Here is a 21,989-nt window from a genome sequence, read left to right as displayed (position 1 = left end):
AAGTATAAAATCCAGTGAAAAGTATGAGTAGATATTTTTATTATCTAGAAGAAAGATTGCTAGTAACTGCTTCATTTAATTTCAGAATTCCAAGCATTTTAGCTTTGAGTGGTATTTTGACAGTATAAACATTTGAAGTATTAAAATGTATCTTTACTTTTCCAGTTTGGAATATGTATGTGCCTGAAATGGATCTTAGTTATAGGGTGATATTCGTCTTATTCCACAGATGTGTTTTGAATGGTTTACAAAAGGACAGCATGATCTTGAGAGTGATGTTCAGCAGCAGCTCTTCAAGGAGAAAATTCTTAAATTGGAGTCATATGAAATCACTATGAATGGTAGGAAAAAACTTAAAATCATTTTTTTCAGTACTTTTAAGTAAGAAGTGTTATTCTTTCCTTTACTTTTAATCCTCCTTCTCAGAAGCAACTAAACAGTTAGGAATATCCTTCTAGAATTTTTCTTGTGCATCTAAAGACATATTTAGTACTCAAATTCCTTTCTACATGAATGGTATCTTATAATTAGTTTTTAAATCATATGGCCTGCTAGATCAAATTGCCAAATTGTCTTTTTAAAATTTCTTAGTACAAAAGGGTTCATTAAGGTAAAAATGTATCAAGGTATAGAAATCCTCCTTTCAGATGTTTCTTTTCATTGAATTTTTAAATTGAGATATAATTTACATACCATGAAACTCACTTTTTAAAGTGTACAAATGGTGGCTTTTAGTATATTCACAAAATTATGTAACCTTCACTCTGTTCCAATCCCAGAACATTTTCATTACCCCAAAAATAAACCTATACCCATTAACAGTCACTTTCCATTCATTTTATCCAGCCTCTAATCTATTTTCTGTCTTTATGGATTAGCCTAATCTGGACATTTGATATGAATGGAGTCATACACTGTGATCTGTCGTCTCTGGCTTCTTTCATTGTACTAAGGCATAATGTTTTCAGGGTTCGCCCAGGTTGTAGCATGTATCAGTACTTCGTTCCTTTTTATGGCTTTATAATATTCCACTGTGTGGGTATACCATATTTTATTTATCCATTCTTGAACTAATGGACATTTTGATTGTTGCCACTTTTTGGGTGTTACGGTTAATACTGCTGTAAACATTCATGTACAAGTTTTTCAGTGGGTACGAGTTTGCATTTCTCTTGGATGTATATCTAGAAGTCAGATTGTTCTGACATATAATTAACCTTTCAGGAACTGTCTGTTTTGCAAAGTGCCACGCTATTTCGTAATCCCACCAGCAATATATGAGGGTTCCAATTTCTTCACATCCTCAACAATACTTGTTATTATCTGCCTTTTTTTATTTTAGACATCGTAATGGGTATAAAGTGGTATCAAAATTTAATGGGTGTTTTTTTGGTTTGTTTGTTTGAGATGGAGTCTTACTCTTGTCGCCCAGGCTGGAGTGCAGTGGCACCATCCTGGCTCACTGCAACCTCCACTTCCCAGGTTCATGTGATTCTCCTGCCTCAGCTTCCCGAGTAGCTGGGATTATAGGCGCATGCCACCATGCCTGGCTAATTTTTTATTTTTAGTAGAGACAGGGTTTCACCATGTTGGCCAGGCTGGTCTCAAACTCCAGACCTCAGGTGATCCTCCTGCTTCAGCCTCCCACAGTGCTGAGATTACAGGCTTGAGCCACCGCACCCGGCCAAATCTAATGGTTTTAATGTGCACTTCTCTGGTGACTAATTATATTAAGCATCTATTTATATGTGCTTATTGGCCATTTGTTTATATTCTTTAGAGAAATCTTAAAATCTTTTGCCCATTTTAAAATTGGTTTGTCTTTTAATTCTTGAGTTGCAAGGGTTCTTTATATATTCTGGGTACTAGCTCCTTATCAGATAGTTGATTTGCAAGTATTTTCTTCCATTATGTGAGTTGTCTTTTCACTTTCTTGTTAATGTCATTTGAAGCACTTAATTTTGATTATATCTGATTTACTAATATTTTCTTTTGTTGCTTCTGCTTTGGTACCATATCTAAGAAGCCAATGCCAAGAGTCTTATGGTTTTAGTTCTTGATCCACTTTGAGTCTTTTCATTGATTATCTGTGTTACGTAGAGTACATGAATTTATTTGGCATTCTATAATTACAGGTTTTAACTTATTTAAAACTTTTTTTGAAAATGTGAATCTTTGTGATCATCGATTGAAAAGACAAGGAGCTCAGTTGGTAAGTACGTTATTCTCAAATCTAGATAGTTTGGATAATCTAGTATAACTTGATATTCAGCAAAAAAAAAAGTGTTATAATTGAGAGATAACATGGATTTTTTTGGTAAAGAACAGCATCTCCTTGACTGCCAGCTTCTATGTTGATGACAGAGCTTCTCCTAGTGTAAGGGAGGCTCCTACCTGCACTACCATGCCTCACCAGCTACCTGCGAGGACACTGCTCTCTCTCACATCTCTCTGTTTCTGGCTGATCTAGGGACAGCCAGTGGCCTCCTGTGGCCACATGAATGCAGAGCAGGGATAGTTCACCTAAGCTTCGAACTCCTCAGATCCAGCAATTCACATGTACCTAAAAAAGCAAGAACAGTCTTCGTCCTGGGATCACAGTGGCAGGGATTTGGGGAGAAAAATTGAGGAATAGACAGTGAGGCAGGAAAACTAGGATGTACAGCTTATGTTTATATTTACACATGCTCCTTTAAAAAAAAAAAAGGCTTATTAACTCTTTTTCCAAGTCCTTTTTATTCAGGACATGGCTTCCTGGGTGGTTAGAATTTTTACAAGATTTTACAAGCCCTGGGTCCTACTGTTTACTACTGAGCTTTAGAAAGACCAGATTGAGCCCCAAGAATTAGTGACCACTTCTGGCTTGACTGTTTCCTTTTGAAGAAAAGCTCCTGAAGATGGTGCCCATCTCACTCCTGCTCTATTTCTGCTTCAGTAGCCTGTTGGGCTGTGTGTCCAGTTTGGGTCTAGGGATGTCTGAAGAGATATCTCTGTACCTATCCTGGTTCCCGTGGAATTTGCCCAGTGCTTCTGTGGTTGGTTGCTTTTTAAAGTTCCATATCAGTATAATATTATTTTCATATAGCTGAGGTTTTGCAGCCTTAATTCATATTGAACTGAAGAGGTGTGGACTCATGATGTAACAAAATAATTATCTGTGATTTTGTAACTTTGTGATCTTGATATGCTTTATAATTTAATTTTTTTTCTTTTGAACAGTATGTAGAAAAGCTGGAATTGATAGGAATGGATTTCATTTGGAAAATAGCCATGGAATCACCTGATGAAGAAATTGCTAATGAAGCTATTCAGCTAATCATAAACTATAGTTACATTAATCTAAATCCTAGATTAAAGAAGGTAGGTATCTAAGGAAAGAAGTTATCCATATACAAAAAAGCAGAAAATTATATGTATATTTTAGTGATAAGCTGTGATCCTTGGCATGACCAAAAATTGGCTTCTTTATTTTGATATTTTGTCCTGAATAATGATTACAACTAAATGTCAAGGACTAATTGTAATTTCCATATACTCTTTCAGGATTCAGTATCTTTACATAAGAAATTCATTGCTGATTGCTACACAAGATTAGAAGTGAGTAGCAAATTTTATTTAACATCTCTTTGAGGTAAATGCTTTTTTTCTTTCATAATTTTATATTTTTAGATAATTTATAATGTTGATGTTTGTGGCTGGATCCTATTGAAGAATTTATCAACAGTACCATATTGTGGCATAGGGAACAGATGTTTGCCCAGTATATAAGTGTACTCTATAGGAAATCTTTCTCCCTCTCACCACCTGTCTTCCCCACTCCATCCACCTTCCTCCCCTTTTGGAGTATAGGAACTATCTTCAGAAAATAGGTCACCTATACATTCCATATTTGTAATAGAATCTTTTTCTTTTTTTTCTTTTCCTGTTCAGGTATTTTATATAAGCACTGCTTCTTTTTTTGTTTTTCTTCATGTTTCACCTAGTTATACCATAAATGTTATTAAAGGCCACAGCAAGACAGTTAGTAGTAGGTGGTATTGGTTGTCTTTGTCCATTAGAAGCCTGCTGTGTAATGCTAGCTCACATGTATCTCTTTTATTTCCAGCATGACGGTTAAAGCCTTAAACATTCATATTCAGTTGATATGCTTAAGTTTTACATCTAAGCAAAAATGTTCCAAAAGCATAAAATGCTACTGCCTCCCAATTCCAATAAGTTAAGCTTTCTGGTGATAAATATGTGCTAGAATATGTACGGTATTTCCCTAATTGTGACTTCTATCCAAATATGTCATTATAAAAAAAATTCAAGTATTCGAATACCCCTTATGAGGTCCCATGTAAGTGTTAACATATATAGGGCACTAGTTCTCAGCTGGGGCTTATTTTGCCTCTGGGGGTCATTTGGTAATATCTGGAGGCATTTTTGGTTGTCCAACTAGAAGCATCCTACTGGTCCCTAAGTAGGTAGAGGCCAGGGATCCTGTTAAACATCCTACAGTGAATGCCCAGGACAGCCCTCTGCAACAGCAAATTATCCTGTCCAGAATGTCACTAGAGTCCAGGTTGAGAAACCCTGATAGAGAATGACTGTTTGGTATTTTTTAGGCAGCCAGTTCAGCACTTGGTGGCCCCACTCTAACACATGCTGTGACCAGAGCAACAAAAATGCTTACAGCAACTGCCATGCCAACTGTAGCAACCTCAGTTCAGTCTCCTTATAGGTAAGTGATCAGAAGTGAAAAATACACAACACACATATGTCAGTTTTTTAAAATGATTGGTGTTTTTTATGTAGGTTTCTCAGTTATTGATTTCCTCATTTTATATCATAATTTTTGCAAGCTGTCATAATCCTGAGAATTACATGTTCCCCATCATACATCCCTGAATCTGTGCCTCTTTGGAAGTTCTGTGTGTAGGTCATCACCAGGACCACCCGAGTACTTCCCTGTCCCTATCCTTCTACCTGGTGGACAGGTCTTCTTGTTTTAGTTTTTATTTGATTCATTTTACTTTTATTCTATGTAGTATGAATAACTTACTGTTTAGAATGCAATACACATACATTGTATGAAAACTACTTTTTTTCAAGTTAAAAATATTTACTTAGATATAGCTTTTCTCCTTGAATAGTCAAACTCAGGGCATTAATAGGGTAAGCAGAATGAAGTAGAAGATGATTAATTAAAAGTATGCATTATGCTTGCATATGATTAGTGACTATAATCATAGTCACTAAAATATTATTCAAATAATAAAAGTATTTTTCAAAATAATTTTTAGTGAGAACTTTATCCCCAAATGTTTGTGTGAAAACTTTAAACTGACATTGTCTCAATCACATTGCTGTTTTTTGAGTTTTCAGATATTGATGAAATCTTGAGTTTAGTGTCTGCTGTAGTTCTCTGATAACAGATTTCACTAAACTCAGATTTCATGAATAGGAGATATAGGAGAAACCATGCATAATTTGGAACATTAGATGGAAGTAACTAAAATACTTTTGTGGGTTTTTTATGAGCCTCTGCTGGTAAGCAACACCACGTCATTATTTCCCAGAAAACTGGCGAGTGCTCTGAGAAGGACTTGCTCTCCCTACCTCACTCTGCTGCTGCCCTCTAGTGATGGGTACTCATAGAGTCTTTCTCTACTCTAGAATGGCTATTCTTATTCACAACGGGATATTCCTTTGCTTGTTAAAGCCTTCCTTTAAAAAGGGGAATCAAAGCAATGAGTCCTTTCTTCCATTCTTCTTTTTTAAAATGAGTTGAGTATTGTGTCACTGTACTTTGTTAATATGAAGGAAGCCAATAAACTCAGCTTTCTCAGACTTCTTTTTTAAATGGCAGAAGTAATGATAGATTCAACTCATGATAAGAACACTAACATGACTTTCACATTCCCACATTCTTGGAAGTATTTCTCAAATAGACTTTCATTTAAAATGTGTATTAAGAATTCCCAATTATGTGTTTGTAATATGTAGCCATCTCTATGACTCAGTTCCTTAATGGTTCATTTATCTGATAAATTCGAATGTAAGTATATTTATGTGCTATTGGGTTAGGATGTCCAAACTCCTACTTCTTTAAATGAGTATGCTTTTTGTTTTTTTCTCTTTACTAAGTGCTTTTTATTCGGAATCATTTCATATTTGGTGGACTACAGAGAAAACCACATAATAATTTTAAAATATTATAAACTCTAAATAGGGTTAATAAGAATATATAGCTTCAAAGTCGAATTTGAACCAGAACATTGTAGTTTATCTCATTTCACTAGTTTGGAAAGAACTTTTCAGTATCCATAATTGTTCCAACTTGGGGTGGGGGGGGTTTCTGTCATCTGTACAGTATTTCATAATACTGTCTGTGATTTAATTCATTATTGAGGCATAATTAAAAAATAGTTCACTCACTTATTATGGACTTAGATATTTTCTAAAAATTTTTCGTCTGAATTTCAAGTTCTAGTTCTTGCCCATAGACTGGAATAATTTAGAACTCTGTTAAGTATATTTAATAGAACTGCTAAAATGTGTTTAACCAGCTGTTTTTAGAGTGAAATTTTTGGTACTGCTAATCAGCATACCAGACCAATTGTTAAAAAATGGTAGTACCTCTTTTCAGTTTTAGAAATATACCTCTTTGAAATATCTAGACTCTCTGGAATAGAAAATGTTTAAATTAAGGGGACTTGGATTTTCATTTCTTAATGTTAATACATGTAATGTTCTTTTTAGTAAAGTATGGGGCTATGACTATATAAGCTGATGAATATTGCAGTCTGATTATTTCAAATGATAAGTAAGATTCCATAAGTCTTCAACCAAAAGAGACCTCAGATCTCATTTTTAGATAGCAACTTTTGTTTGTGTCGTACTTACTGATTTGCATTTGTCTTCTAATTCTCAGGCAGTTCAGAACTTTGTCAGATTTCATGTGTTCACAGAATTGTATATCATATTTTAGTTATAAGATAAAGTCAGACTCACTCATTTCATTCTTGATAAATTAATGGACAGATAGGCCTAGAAACCCAGGTCCTCCATTTATGGAATAACTGTTTAAAGAAATGAAAAGAAGAAAGAAAAGGAAAGGAAACATGGGGAGGTATAGGCTTCTCCCTTATTCCATCTGTATGCTACAGCTGTGAGCTTGTAGAACCACCTCCCCATTGGGTAAAAGGGAAGTTTAATCTTTGCAAATTTCAGTCTTTGACCAGTGAGTGCTAACTGTTATTGTGGTTTTGGTGAAACAGACTAGAACTGAGCTCAGATCATCACACTTCAAATACATTTTAATACTTTTTTTTTTTAATCTATAGATCTACTAAACTTGTAATAATTGAGAGATTGCTGCTTCTGGCAGAGCGCTATGTGATCACTATAGAGGTAAGCCACTTCCTTTTTTTAAGATGTATGTTGCTTAGGCTGGACTCAAGCGATCTTCCCACCTCAGCCTTTCTAGCAGCTGGGAGTTTAGCACACACCACCACACCCAGTTAGCCTCTCTTTTCTTAAAAAAGCATCTTCATTCATCATATATACATAGATATGTATTTTTGATGTGTTTATCAGTGGTGCTGTCCATCTGACTTGACTTATTCGTTTTTTAAGGATTTTTACTCTGTTCCACGAACTATTCTACCTCATGGTGCCTCATTTCATGGACATCTTTTAACCCTTAATGTTACCTATGAGTCTACCAAAGATACCTTCACTGTCGAGGTAGGTTTACATTAAGAACTACAGCCATTTTCATGTTGTCTTATTATTTTCATAAAGCAGTCTTGATTGAGTTAGCTGCATGAATAATCATTCTAAAGGTAGTTTGGTAAACAAATGTAGAATAAAGACCTGAAATGAAACTGTGGGGTACAAGCAGATATATAAATAAATATTATATAATGTCAAGCGGTGGTTAAGTATTGTAAAGAACAAATAAGAGTAAAGCAGGATACATTGGTGAGGAGGGTGATAAGATGGGAATGCACAAAATATTTTAGGTAAAGATGGACAGGGAAGGTCTCTCTGAGGTGGTGACATTTGAGCACAAACTTGAGTAAAGTGACAGGGTAAATGACGTTTGCTTGGGAGAACATTCCAGGCAAATGGAAGAACAGGTACAAAGGCAAGCAAGGTGGCTGGTGTGAGGGGAGCACAGTGAGAAAGGGAAAGAGTGGACAACGCTGCAGTGGAAGAAGGGCTTGAGGTCTCATTCCACGCTTGATGGGGAGGAGGTGGAGTGTAGAATGGAACATAATTATAGCAGAAGGGAAGCCTCACGAGGGCAGGGGTTCTTGTCTTTATGTTCTCTGCTGTGTTCCCAGCTTCTAGAACAGTGCCCAGTACCTAGTAGATGTTCACTCACAGTTGTTTAAATGAATAAATAAATGAATTCTCTCACAACGTGTTTAATTTTATTTTACAGGCTCACAGTAATGAAACCATAGGGAGTGTCCGGTGGAAAATAGCCAAGCAGTTGTGCTCTCCTGTGGATAATATACAGATATTTACAAATGATAGCCTGGTAGGTTTAAATAAGCAGTTTTGATGAATAATAAATGATATAATATAAATATTTAGCCTGATATGAATAATTTCCTCTTCCTTTTCCTCTCAATAATTAAGAAACCACTTTTTGCAGCTGACAGTGAATAAAGATCAAAAGCTACTCCACCAACTGGGCTTTTCTGATGAACAAATCCTTACAGTGAAGACTTCTGGCAGTGGGACCCCATCTGGGAGTTCAGCAGATTCTTCAACCAGCTCCAGCAGCAGCAGCAGTGGGGTTTTTAGTTCTTCATATGCCATGGAGCAGGTACTGGGTGATCAATTTCCATTTAAAAACAAGAACTTAACAGTCACTGTCTTTTTGTTCTGACTCTTCCAAACTGTATAACAAATGCTGGGATTCATTAGTGTTCAAGCTTGTTGTGTTATTTCTTCCATCTTAAAAAAATCTCTTCATCCCACTTACACCTTCAGTTACTGCCCCATTCTCCTTCCAAAATCAGCAAAGCTCCTTGAAACAGTTGTCTGAACTCGTTTCCAGCTTTTCTTTTGCCATCCTCTCTTGATCTCTGTTGATAAGAATTAGCCTCTTTTCAAGTTGGTCTGTCACCTCCACCTCTTAGTCCTCATCTTCTTGACATTTCATTGAAGCTGATACGTGTGATCGCTTCCCCCTTGGAACACTCTTCACTTGGCTTTCGGGACTTGGTGTGAATTTCCACTGTCTCTCCGCCTGTTTGGTTTTTTATTTGGTTGGTTTTTTGTTTTTTGGTCTCCTTTGCCAATTTCTCTTCATCTCCCTGATCTCTGTACTGAGAAGTTCCCTGGCCCAATCTTTGGACCTCTCCTCTGTCTACAGTCATTCCCTTAAAAATCTCATCCAGTCTCCAGTCTCTGCATATTGTATGTACATTGCTAACTTCCACTTTTTAGTTTTAACCTGAAATAAATGGATCCATCCACTTAACATCTCTTAAGTGTCTACTAGGCACCCCAATCCTAATTTATCCCGAATTGAGCTCCTTATACCCTTTTCCCCACTACCTCACTCCCACCCCAAATCTCTTCTTCCCACAGCCTTGTTGTATCTCAAATGATGGCATCTCCAGTCTTCTAGTTGGCTCAGGCCAGAATCTTTGGGTTCCTTCTTTCACACCCGTGTCCATGACCAAATTCTTGACTCCACCTTCAGAATCCATCGACAATCCAGCTACTTTTTTCTGCATCCACAGCTTGCACACCAGTCTAGGCAATCACCATGCCTCACCTGGCATATTTTAGTAGTGCCCTAACTGCTCTCACAGTTTCTGCTCTTAGACCAGTTCAGTCTCTTCTCTACAGGGCACCCAGTGGCCCAGGATCTTACTAAACATAAGTCAGATTGTACCACTCGGCCCGAGTGGCTCCTGTCTCACTCAGAATAAGAGCCAGTCTTTACTGGGACCTTCAGGGCCTTCCTAATGTGTCCCCCGGAGCCTCTCCAAGGTTGTCTCCTGTGAGCTTCTCTCACCACTCCAGCCTCACTGGCCTCCATGTTGGTCCTCAAATAGCATGGTCTGTGAATTTGCTCTTCCCTGTGCCTAAACTGTTCTTTCCTGATGCAGGTGGCTCACTCTCACTTTCTTCAGCTTTTACTCATATTCTCAGTGAGCCTTCTCTGACTGTCTTGTCTAGATTTTCAGCCTCTTTCCTACCCCTGTATTTCTTTTTATTTCCCTTCCCTACTTTATTTTTTCTTTAGCATACTATATATTTTATTTATCTTGTTTATCTCTCTCTCCCAATAAAATGTAAGCTCCATGAGAGCAGATTTTCTTCTGTTTTGTTCACTGCTGCGTCCTCGACACCTAAAACAGTGCCTAGAACATGATAGGTACTCAATCAATATTTCAATGACTTCATGAATTAGTTTATTTTGTACCTTCTCTGTGTTAGGACTCCAGGTGTACAAAGCTGCGTAAGACTGTTCTGCTTTTTAGGCTTTTATAGTCTAGAAAGCAAGCTAATGTAAAGTAAAGGTATTTAAAAGACATATAGGGTTTTTTTTCCCCTATGGTTATTATATATATTTCCCCCTATGGTTATTATATATATTTCTTTAATTCCAAATGTAAGACTTTGTGTGACTGCATCTTTTTAATTTACAGAGCATAAACCTTACTAGAGAGATCAAAGAACTCTTCAAGTTTAGTGCAAGTTGAGTAGTCTTTAGGATTTTAGAATATTTGCATATACATAATGAGATATCTTGAGGATGGGACCCAAATCCAAACACTAAATTCATTTATGTTTCATATACACCTTATATACACAGCCTGAAGGTAATTTTATACAACATCTTAAATAATTTTGTGCATGAAACAAGATTTTGACTGAGATCGGTTACATGAGGTCAGGCATGGAATTTTCCACTTGTGGTGTCATGTTAGCACTCAGAAAGTTTCCGATTTTGGAGAATTTCACATTTCAGATTTTTGAATTAGGGATACTCAGCCTGTGTTGGTATTGTGGGGTTGTCAGAGTTAACTGTATTTGAAGACTGGGTGTGGTGGCTCATGCCTGTAATCCTAGTAGTTTGGGAGGCTGAGGCAGGAGGATTGTTGGAGGCCAGGAGTTCAAGACCAACCTGGCCAACATAGCGAGACCCCCATCTCAATTTTTTTAAAAATTATATTTCATATATAACAAGAATTTTAAAAAGAAACCCCACTCAGAATGATATTATAGCAGCTAAATAACAAAAACAGTGTACATAGTATCTTCAAGTTTAATAATTTTTAACTGTCTCACATTTATCCTGAATTTATTAAAAATCTTCCCACTTGTAAATACGTTGTGTAATGATGTCCGATTTCTTATTCCTTATAACCAGAAAATAGTGCTTTAGTCATATCTGAATCTCTTTTATGCAGTTATAACCATTTTGTCTTTTCTGATCTTTGGGAAAAAAACATGGTAACTTCTTTGTCTCAACTTAAATTACATGTATTTATTGTTGTGTGTGAATGTCGATACATAAACACACTACTTTTGTTTTCACATCACTCCCCCTGTTCTCTACTGGGGAGCAGTCATTAGCTCAGTGGTGCCTACTCTCCATTATATTAATTACACATGCTCTCTGCTTTACCTCTCTTCTACTGTGCCTGCCTTTTGGCACCTTAGTCCCTTCACTAGCAGGTGGCCAGGAGAAGGGAGAGCAAGTAATACACGCTAGGAGGTAGTGATCCCTCGTCTAATATGTTACCATGTGGTGTTCTTCAGTACAGACGAGCACTGTGCTTCCCTCAAGCTTTACAGTGACCAGCCAGCCTTTCAGAACTAGTATTTTTATTGTTTGTAAGTTTGATTAGGAAAGGAGAACATTCTTTTGTAAATTTGAATTTCTATTTTGCTTTTTTCCATCAGGAGAAATCCCTCCCTGGTGTAGTGATGGCTCTCGTATGTAACGTATTTGACATGCTTTATCAGCTCGCCAATCTGGAAGAGCCAAGGTAAATATAAATATTTGTGAGGCTTGGCAGAGAGAAAGTTACTAACATTAGGGAGCCAAGTAACTTTTCACTTGAAATGCATTTTATTTTATATTCCATACTAATGGACTTTGTTGAATTAAACTATGGCTTATATGAAAAAATTTGTATTTGAAAAACTTCAGGATAACTCTACGAGTACGGAAGCTTCTGCTCTTGATACCCACTGATCCAGCCATTCAGGAAGCCCTTGATCAACTTGATTCTTTAGGAAGAAAGGTATGAGTATTTTTTAACTAGCATGGCAATTTTATATCACAATTCAGTGAGTGAAAATACAACCTGAAATCACATCAAGGTCATATGATACCATCTTTCCCATAATGTTTTTTCTTCTTTTGAAAAATACCTTCACCAGCCCAGTGCAGTGGCTCACGCCTGTAATTCCAACACTTTGGGAGGCCAAGGTGGGAGGATGGCTTGAGCCCCAGAGTTCAAGACCAGCCTGGGCAATGTAGGGTGACCCCATCTCTACAAATAAAAAAATTAGCTGGTGTGATGGCATGTACCTGTAGTCCCAGCTACTCAGGAGGCTGAGGTAGGAGGATAGCTTGAACCCAAGAGGTCGAGGCTGCAGTGAGCCAAGATTACACACTGCACTCTGGCCTGGGCAACAAAGCAAGACCCTGTCTCAAAAAAAAAAAAAAAAAGAGAGAGAGAGAAATACCTTTGCTATAAATGGAAATCAGAACTTAATGTTGACTTTTAAAGTATTTATATAAAGTCAATAATGACATCAGGTGTCAGAACTGGAAGAGCCTTTAGTACCATCTACCTTTCCACCTCCTCATGTTATATATTAGGAAGCCAAAGCTCAGAGGGATGAAGTTACTTGTCCCAGATCAGACTCTAGTTGTGATTCAGTTGAGACGTTTTTCATTACCCATGATGCCTCTTTGAATCTGATCATTGCGTATGTCTGAGTTGCTAATATAAATGGATTATCATTTAATTTTTTCACAGTTGATATTTAAAGTTCATTTTTGTTAATTGTTAGAATGTTGTTCCTTAAGGGATTTATCCATATATTGAAATTGTGTCGTATCTATAATATTGTTTAATTATGTTCTCAGAATAAATTGATGTAGAAAAAGTTGTTAGAACTATATTTTCTATTTTATAATTTAGTGGTAGAAATTTAGATCAGCTCAGTCATGTCATTTATTGCTTATACACTAATTTAAAGGATAAAACTAATGTAATTATAAAATATATCACTAGTATTAGCTTAACAGATTTTTCAAGCCTACCACTTTAGCAATCTTATAATTTTATTATCAGTATTTAGAGATACAAATTTTAAACACAGAAACTAATTAAAATGACCTTCTCAGGTGTTGCTTAGAATACATGCTCAAAAGCATTCACGTAGTATTTGAATCTTATTGAACATTTAGAATTTGTATGATGAAGTTTGATGTTTTAATAGTTACGGAGTGATGTGGTTTTATGAAGTTAATTTTTAGAAAATAGCATTGGTGTGGCTTATATTAAAGAGGGAAAGAATATTAGGACGTGTACTAAGATCTGTTTCTCTTTAATTTGTCCTTTTAAGTAGTTTATGTCTTTCTCATTCTCTTAAACTTAGAAAACATTGCTGTCTGAATCAAGTTCTCAGTCCTCAAAATCTCCATCCCTGTCATCAAAGCAACAGCACCAGCCAAGTGCCAGTTCAATTTTAGAAAGTCTGTTTCGATCTTTTGCCCCGGGAATGTCTACCTTCAGAGTGCTCTACAACTTAGAAGTAAGAAACCTAATTTCTTTCCATTTCATTTTGACAGGTCTATTTGGATTTATCGATTCATGCTTTCAGATGTCAGAAATAAGTAAATAGGTTTCTGTTATGTGATGATTGGTTGAAAATTAGTTTTAAGAAATAGATTATAAATTGAAACGTTTTTGCCTTTGAATATGCAAAAGATATTTTTATTACTACCTTAGCCCATTTGGGCTGCTATAACAAATCACCATAGACTGGATGGCTTAAACTGCAAGCATTTATTTCTCATAGTTGGAGTGGCTAGGGAGTCCAAGATCAAGGCACCAGCAGATTCGGTGTCTGGTGTGGGCTGGCCTCCTGGTTCATAGATGGCACCGTCTCACTGTGACCTCACTTCCAAAATAGGAATTTTAGGGGAATACAAACACTCAGTTCGTTGTAATTAGCCTCCCCAAAAGAAGCTTTAATACATTTAATTGTTTACTGTCTACAAGTCATGGTGGTGGTTAAGGGAACAGAGTTGAAAAAACAAGTTACTCACTCCAAGATCTTATGAGTAAGACATATGGAAGCTGGATATACTGAGTCTGGATGGCAGAGTGTAAACAAAGCACTATGGGAAAGTGACCAACTGAAATCAGTTCTGCTCTTGGAGAGTAATAGGTCAGACCCTCATACCACTCTTGGTCTGAAGAAAATAAAGCCCTGAATGATTTTGCTTTGTCTTAGGAAGTTATATCCAGGCACTAAAGAATAGAATCCATATCAGTGCCTAAGCAGTCTTAATTATTATATCATGTATCTTAAGTACACAAAAGTCAAAAATTTTAAGAGGGTACCTGCATTTTTTCCAAGTTTCATTTCATGTGACAATCTGATTGGGAGCATATAATTATAGTCCTTCATTTTCCCACTCCACTTGTTGCTTGTATGATGTGATAACTTTTCATACAAGCAATATCTTACTGCTTCAAGGTGTGATGACATTTCATATTTGCCTTAATCATTCCTGTGAAAAGACATGTTGGTCTAAAAAGAAAAAATATTTAGCAAATATTTTAAAAATTAAGTATGTCCTTATTTATATGGACATTTAAAAACATATGCAGTATTCAGCATGGAAACCACGTTTGAGGTTGAGTCATCCTTGTGTTTAAGAATTAACTTTATGAAATGTAGTAGCATTCAGTGTAGTATTAAGTTATAACAACAGCATGGAGTACCAAAGTGCTTTCTATTTAGATTATATTTTACATTTTCGTGCATACTGAGGAGGCTTATTCAAAATGAAAATACTAACTTAATGTTCACCCTGTTTAATAAACAGATGTCAAAAAATAAAATATATGCAGTATTTCCAAAACAGAAAATTGCCTAGGAATTTTTAGCCCATTTAAGCCTAAAGAATTTGCATCTTGTGATTCCTGCCAGATCTGTCATTTGTTTTTGAATGATTATCTCCAAAAAGTTCAAGTGTAATTTTAAACACCTATATTTAATAGAAAAACAGAATGGTCCAACAATGGGTCTAGCTTGTCATCAACTATCTAAATTCCATTATCTTAGAGCCATAGCACTGCAGTGGTAAAATACCTCTGGTATCATTTTAAGACTTCTGAGTAGGTGTGAATTCCTTTGATATTTTTTGTTTTGCTTTAGGTACACAAAATAGTTGGAAACCTAACACTCCCAAAAGCTTTTATTTTGCTGTCAGCTAAAAGGTTAATTTCTTTGCAATTTGTTCATTAACTTTTATTTACCTGCTAGGAAACTTCAAAGTGAATATTTCCTTGTCTTTGAGGAAACCTGTCAGTTCACTAAATTGTTGTCCATTAAGCATGAGGCAGCTGGGGTCAGAGTGTCCATGTAGACGAAGAGCTATATATATTTGAAAGGCTTAGAAGAGCACAGGTTCCTTTTCTCCCATGTAATGCTCATTATCCCAGGTTGGTGGACCTGTTTCTCCAGAGCAACCTAGGAAGAAGGCATCTTTAACAAAATCCCACATTAAGTTCTAAACTCATAAAACTCATGGGTTCATAGAAGCAGATTTTTTAAGACTAGAAAATGATCTTGAACTACATCTAGTTTAAGACTGAGGCAATGAGAGTCTTTATTTTTAAATCATAACTTAATAAGCAGTTGTTTACTGAGTACTTGTTTTGTGCTGATGCTTATACTAAGCACCTTAAAGCTTGTGCTGTAGTATTTAATCCTTCAATCTTCCTGTAAAGGCAACTACTATGTTCACTTAGTGATGAGAAAACTAGGACAAAAGGGAGCATTGTATGCCTAAGGTCTCTCAGCTAGGTAAAACTAGAATGTGAACTAGATTTGTAGTCTTGGCTATAGTATGGTTATTTATGTGAAATTCTGCCCAACCAAAGTATTCAGTTGAACTCCACTTTAGGTGTAGGCATTGCGGTGTCATAGAAGGGCATGAGTGTTAGAATGAGACACATCTGGATTTGAATTCTAACCACGTGACCTTGGGTGGGCAGTCACTTAACCTACTTAACCTTTCAGGTCTCAGTTCCCTCACCTATAAAGTAAAATACATATGCCTGATACATTGTAGATGTTCAATAAATAGGAGTTAGAGTTATTGTTGGGAAACTCATCTTGCATTTTTAATATATGGGCTGTTTTATAAAACTTTGGTGTATATCTTTCTAAAGAATATATCTAGCATATCACATGAAATTATCTGTTCTTATCTAAGCCTGAGGGTCTGAGACTTTCATGTTTGCCAGTTTCATGAAAAGAACACACCAGCTTTCTCTAGAACGGAAAGATTTTTCTTCCAAAGTAAATAGAATAGGGAAAATGTGATTATTTTATCGTGAAACATCAGCTTCTACATATTTCTGGGGGAAAAACAGTGTGCAACATTTAAAGAGATTCTAACTCAAGTTGTCTGAATGTTTTATTTAGTAAAGGAGTAATTTCTGCTGAAAATGTGTGGATGAATAATTGTGCTTATCTGTTCCCTAGGTTCTAAGCTCCAAACTCATGCCAACAGCTGATGATGACATGGCCAGAAGCTGTGCCAAATCCTTCTGTGAAAACTTCCTCAAAGCTGGCGGTTTGAGGTTAGAGTTTCAATGTAATGTTACATGAGTTGCCGAAAATGAATATAGTTATTTTAGTTAATTTCCCCTGCAAAGTCTTGCTTATTCCTACAAGGTATCATATGACTCATTGTGAGAGTTATTATAAGAAGGAATGATGTTTCAGTCCTTTAAAATATTTTAAATCATTTTATAACTTCTGATTATTTGAAAAACGTATGGAAGCATGTCTCTTTCCCCTCTGGTAGTGGGGGAAATTTTCAAGAAGAGTAGAAGCCAGGAGGCTGTATCTGTTTCTTTTGTGTCTCATGTCAGTTTGAAATAAGGTGAATTTTATCGCTGTAAATCCATATTGTGCAAGGTATTAGTGCTGGGGATGCAAAGATAAATTAGATATTATCTCTGCCTTTGAGAGGCAGCTGATGGTTTAACAAAGAATAACAAACAGCTAGGTAACTATATTATAAGTATTAAAACAGGGCAGGCATGGTGGTTCATGCCTGTAATCCCAACACTTTCAGGGGCTGAGGCAGGAGGATTGCTTGAGCCCAAGAGTTTGAGATCGTACGGGGCGACATAGTGAGACCTCATGTCTACTAAAAATAAAAATAAAAAAATAGTTGAGTGTGATGACATGCACTTGTAGTCCTAACTACTTGGGACACTGAGGTGGGAGGATCACTTGAGCCCGGGAGGTGGAAGTTGCAGTGAGCAGTAATAGCACCAGTGCACTCCACCCTGGCAACGGAACAAGATCCTGTCTCAAAAAAAAAAAAAAAAAAAAGGTATTAAAGCAGAGGCATATATAAAAAGTACTTGTGAGGAGGAGGGGTGAGAAAGTAGTGGTTACATTGGTTGAATTTGCTTAGGGTCATAAGGTTAGGAAATTATTCACAGAAAATGACTGTTGAGCTAGGAATTGGGAAATTATTTACCTAGAAATCCTCTAGGTAAATAAGGAGGGAAGGGGCACTCCAAGCTGGAATGGAAGGAAGGGTGAGTGAGAGCATGAAGACGCATCGCCTGTCTTGGGAACCTCAGTTGCCTGGTGTTCAAGCAAAGGATGAAGGAGAGAAACATGTCAAGAAGGGTCTCATTGGGGAATACGAGTGTTGTCTTGTAGTCCATGAAAAAACAGGCAGTTACTAAGCCGAGAATTACCTGAAACAATTACTCTGGCAGCAGTGAAGAGGATGAAGGGAAGTGGGAGAGACTGGAGGAAGGGTAGACTGAGAGCTGACAGTATCCAGAGAGGAGATGAAGGGCAGTGACAGAATGACATTTATGACTAGGTAGAGGGTGGGGACATTTATAAAATGGCCCTGTGGTTTCTAGCTTGGTAGAGTGGGGAAATGGTGAGTCATTAGTCAGTATGAGAAATAAACACAGAGAGATGGAACGAACAAAGGAAAGCAAGAGAAATAAGTTTGTTTGTATACAAGGTCCTTCTGAGTCATGTGAAGTAGATGGTATGGATTGGATAGGGTGCTTGTTAGAAAAGTGGAGAATGGCATGAGAGATTTGGGAGCGTGTGAGTAAAACCATGAGGACATAATCCAGCTGTCAGAGCTGAGTGGCAAGTGTAAGGCAGGAAGGTAGCGTCAGGGCATAGAGATCTCTCCTTTCAGATGAGTAAGAAAAAAGGGGTGATAGTAAATTGAAGACAGAAATAACTGAGGGTGGTCATCAGAGAAATGCAAATCAAAACCACAATGAGATACCATCTAACACCAGTTAGAATGGCAATTATTAAAAAGTCAGGAAACAACAGGTGCTGGAGAGGATGTGGAGAAATAGGAACACTTTTACACTGTTGGTGGGACTGTAAACTAGTTCAACCACTGTGGAAATCAGTGTGACGATTCCTCAGGGATCTAGAACTAGAAATACCATTTGACCCAGCCATCCCTTTACTGGGTATATACCCAAAGGACTATAAATCATGCTGCTATAAAGACACATGCACACGTATGTTTATTGCGGCACTATTCACAATAGCAAAGACTTGGAACCAATCCAAATGTCCAACAATGATAGACTGGATTAAGAAAATGTGGCACATATACACCATGGAATACTCTGCAGCCATAAAAAAGGATGAGTTCATGTCCTTTGTAGGGACATGGATGAAATTGGAAATCATCATTCTCAGTAAACTATTGCAAGGACAAAAAACCAAACACCGCATGTTCTCACCCATAGGTGGGAATTGAACAATGAGAACACATGGACACAGGAAGGGGAACATCACACTCTGGGGACTGTTGTGGGGTTGGGGGAGTGGGGAGGGATAGCATTAGGAGATATACCTAATGCTAAATGATGAGTTAATGGGTGCAGCACACCAGCATGGCACATATATACATATGTAACTAACCTGCACATTGTGCACATATACCCTAAAACTTAAAGTATAATAATTTAGAAAAAAAACTGAGGGGGAAGTTGGCTTTTCTGTTTTGATTTTAGCTTGTGGAAGACTCTTCATAGGTTAACTAAAAGGGACCAATGAAGGAGAAAAGAATAAAGATAAAAGAAAAATGGGTAAATGATGGGGTCAACTTGTACTGCAGTTGGAAGCAGCTTTTCTCTAGAAAGAAGTAGGCATACCATTTCCTCTGGGTGAGGTAGGCATGGACACCAGCTCAAAGCATGAGCAGAGGATGGTTGAAGGAATTCCTGAGGGGAGGTCTGGCACAGAGAAGCTGGGTAGGGACCTTGAGGAGGTCGAGGGGATGGGAAATAGGGAAATGATGGCAAAAAGGATTCCCAAGTACCGTAGAAGGTGTGGCACACATGTGTAGCTTTATTCTGTGTTCCACACTGTAGAGGTGTTTTTAGTACAAACTCCTTTCACATCACTCAGCCATTTACAGGGCTGTCAAAATAAAGACATTGAACATTTGGCTTATTTGTGTATGTCATTTAATTCATGTACCAGATATTGTTCTTAAGCAATGAGAACAGAGCAGTGAGTAGATTAGACCAAAATCCACATCCTCATGAAGCTTACAGTCTAGAGGGGGAGACAATTAACATAAGTAAAAGTATGTGTCAGATGGTGAGGAGAGCTGTAGAGAAAAATAAAGAAGGAAGCAGGGATTCGGGGGCTATGATTTTCAGTAGGGTGATCAGGAAAAGCTTCGCTGGGGTGACATCTAGCAAAGACCTGAAGGAGATAAGGGAGCGAGACCCAGGAGAAAGCTTTTCAGAGGAGCAGCCAGCGCACACCCATGCGTGGGGACCTGCCTGGTGCCGGCAGAGGCCACAGGAGGCCAGTGTGGTTGGGGCACCGTGAATGAGGCAGTGTTTCCCATTCTCAAATGAGACAGAGGTCTGGGACATGACATTGCAGAGATACCAGAGGTCAAGTTATGAAGGGTCTTACAGGCTACTGTGAAGACTCTGCTGTTTTTCAGCATAGGAAATAGGAAACCATTGAAGGATTTTGTGCAGAGGAGTGCCATGATCTGAGTTAAATTTTCTAAGGATCACCCTGATGGGTCTTTTGAAAATAGGTTTGGAAGGTGGAGAGTCAAGAGCAGAAGCAGGGAGAATAGTTAGGAAGCTTATAGGTATCATAGGAAATTATTATGATAGATATATGTAGGCTCTTTTTATGACAGAATCATGTAGAAACTAAGTAATTGATGATGACTGATTACATTACTTATGGAAAATTTAAAATGAAAAAAAATAGAAGTCTTTAATATCCTGCCTTTTTTTCTTCTTTTTGAAGTTTGGTTGTAAATGTCATGCAGAGAGACTCCATCCCATCAGAAGTAGACTATGAAACAAGGCAGGGTGTTTATTCCATCTGTCTACAGCTTGCAAGGTATGTAAATATATTGCATTAGTCTTACCAGGCAATACTTGACTTTTTCTTCGCAAATCATGTTTTTAAATAGTATGAATGGACTCAGAATAAGTCTAGCTGTTTCTTTTTAAGATTTTTACTTGTCGGACAAACAATGCCCACGTTATTAGATGAAGACCTCACCAAAGATGGTATAGAAGCACTTTCTTCCCGCCCATTCCGAAATGTCAGCCGGCAGACAAGCAGACAGATGTCCTTATGTGGTACCCCAGAAAAGTCATCCTACCGACAGTTGTCCGTGTCTGATAGGTCTTCTATTAGGGTTGAGGAAATCATCCCTGCTGCTCGAGTTGCAATACAAGTAAGTGATTTGTGTATTCAAGACATTTTAGTCCCTCTTATTCAGAATGTCCTGTTTAGGAAGAGGTGCTATGGGGATATAAAAATGATTAAGACATGAATATTGCCTTCAAGAAATTTATGGTGACTTAAAAAGAGATCGCTAGGGTAGAAATAACTATAATTCCAGGTAGAAAGTATCAAGTGTTGTAAAACTACAAGACAAAGCATTCTGTGTGTCTTCAAAGGAGGCAGAATAATTTCCTTCACCTGTGGCTGTGATGGGTGATTTTATGTTATAGATGGCATTTGAGCTAGGCCTTGAAGAACAGATGAGGATTAGATATACAGAGATAAGTACTTAGAAAGTTGGAGAAAGGAGACTTGTTCAAGCAAAAGGGAGCACATGTGCAAACTAGAGACAATACCAGAGCTTATGGGAGGTCATGAGGTCATAGTATGTGGGAAAGGGGGAAAGTGAAAAAATTGGTAAAGCGTATTTTGAAGCCACAGCATGAAGATCAATCTGTTTTACAGATAAAAAAGAGAGATTGAAAGCCCTTGAGCAGGATGGCAGCTTGAGAAAGGCCATCTTTCTGGATGACCTTGGAGGGAAAGGAGGCGTATGAAACTGAGACCTGTAAGAAGGTTGTACATGTCAGGGCATGTGTTCAAGTATTGCTCTTTCTCATAATACTTGTTCCATTCTTTAGACAATGGAAGTAAGTGATTTCACTTCTACTGTGGCTTGCTTCATGAGATTGTCATGGGCTGCGGCTGCAGGACGGCTTGATCTTGTTGGGAGTAGCCAGCCAATTAAAGAAAGTAATTCCCTGTGTCCTGCTGGAATTCGAAACAGACTCAGCAGTTCAGGTACTGATTAAAAAGAGACAGTAATGAGAACACTGGGTAAGAAATAACCATAAGAATTCTGTGTGTAGGTTTGCCAGAGTCACAAAAATGGGAGACCCTCTTCTCTTGCTTGTGAGCAT

The 21,989-nt window shown here is 37.4% G+C and overlaps 1 protein-coding gene across 11 annotated transcripts in view; it reads left to right on the top strand.

Annotated features, from left to right (window-relative positions):
* Window positions 1-21,989, top strand: part of USP24 (ubiquitin specific peptidase 24) — a 149,006-nt gene that overhangs the window by 69,026 nt on the left and 57,991 nt on the right. For 10 of the 11 annotated variants that reach the window (XR_001737080.2, XM_047416524.1, XM_017000832.2 and 7 more), the window contains 16 exons: window positions 230-341; window positions 2,136-2,212; window positions 3,220-3,360; window positions 3,544-3,597; window positions 4,608-4,723; window positions 7,329-7,395; window positions 7,621-7,731; window positions 8,435-8,533; window positions 8,651-8,824; window positions 11,926-12,011; window positions 12,176-12,269; window positions 13,639-13,794; window positions 16,765-16,862; window positions 20,581-20,676; window positions 20,791-21,019; window positions 21,711-21,870. Coding sequence is in view for 10 of the 11 variants with exons in the window: in XM_047416524.1 (XP_047272480.1) it covers window positions 230-341; window positions 2,136-2,212; window positions 3,220-3,360; window positions 3,544-3,597; window positions 4,608-4,723; window positions 7,329-7,395; window positions 7,621-7,731; window positions 8,435-8,533; window positions 8,651-8,824; window positions 11,926-12,011; window positions 12,176-12,269; window positions 13,639-13,794; window positions 16,765-16,862; window positions 20,581-20,676; window positions 20,791-21,019; window positions 21,711-21,870 (1,870 nt within the window). In the remaining variant the exon portion in view is untranslated. Of the gene's footprint in view, window positions 1-229; window positions 342-2,135; window positions 2,213-3,219; window positions 3,361-3,543; window positions 3,598-4,607; window positions 4,724-7,328; window positions 7,396-7,620; window positions 7,732-8,434; window positions 8,534-8,650; window positions 8,825-11,925; window positions 12,012-12,175; window positions 12,270-13,638; window positions 13,795-16,764; window positions 16,863-20,580; window positions 20,677-20,790; window positions 21,020-21,534; window positions 21,871-21,989 lie in introns of those variants that run through there. The other variant, XM_017000837.2, reaches the window with a different exon arrangement.

Source organism: Homo sapiens, chromosome 1 (genome assembly GCF_000001405.40).
Source record: "Homo sapiens chromosome 1, GRCh38.p14 Primary Assembly".
Taxonomy (NCBI): Eukaryota; Metazoa; Chordata; class Mammalia; order Primates; family Hominidae; genus Homo; species Homo sapiens.
The sequence above is the reverse complement of the archived record's forward strand: the minus strand, read 5'-3'. Positions and strand labels throughout refer to the sequence as shown.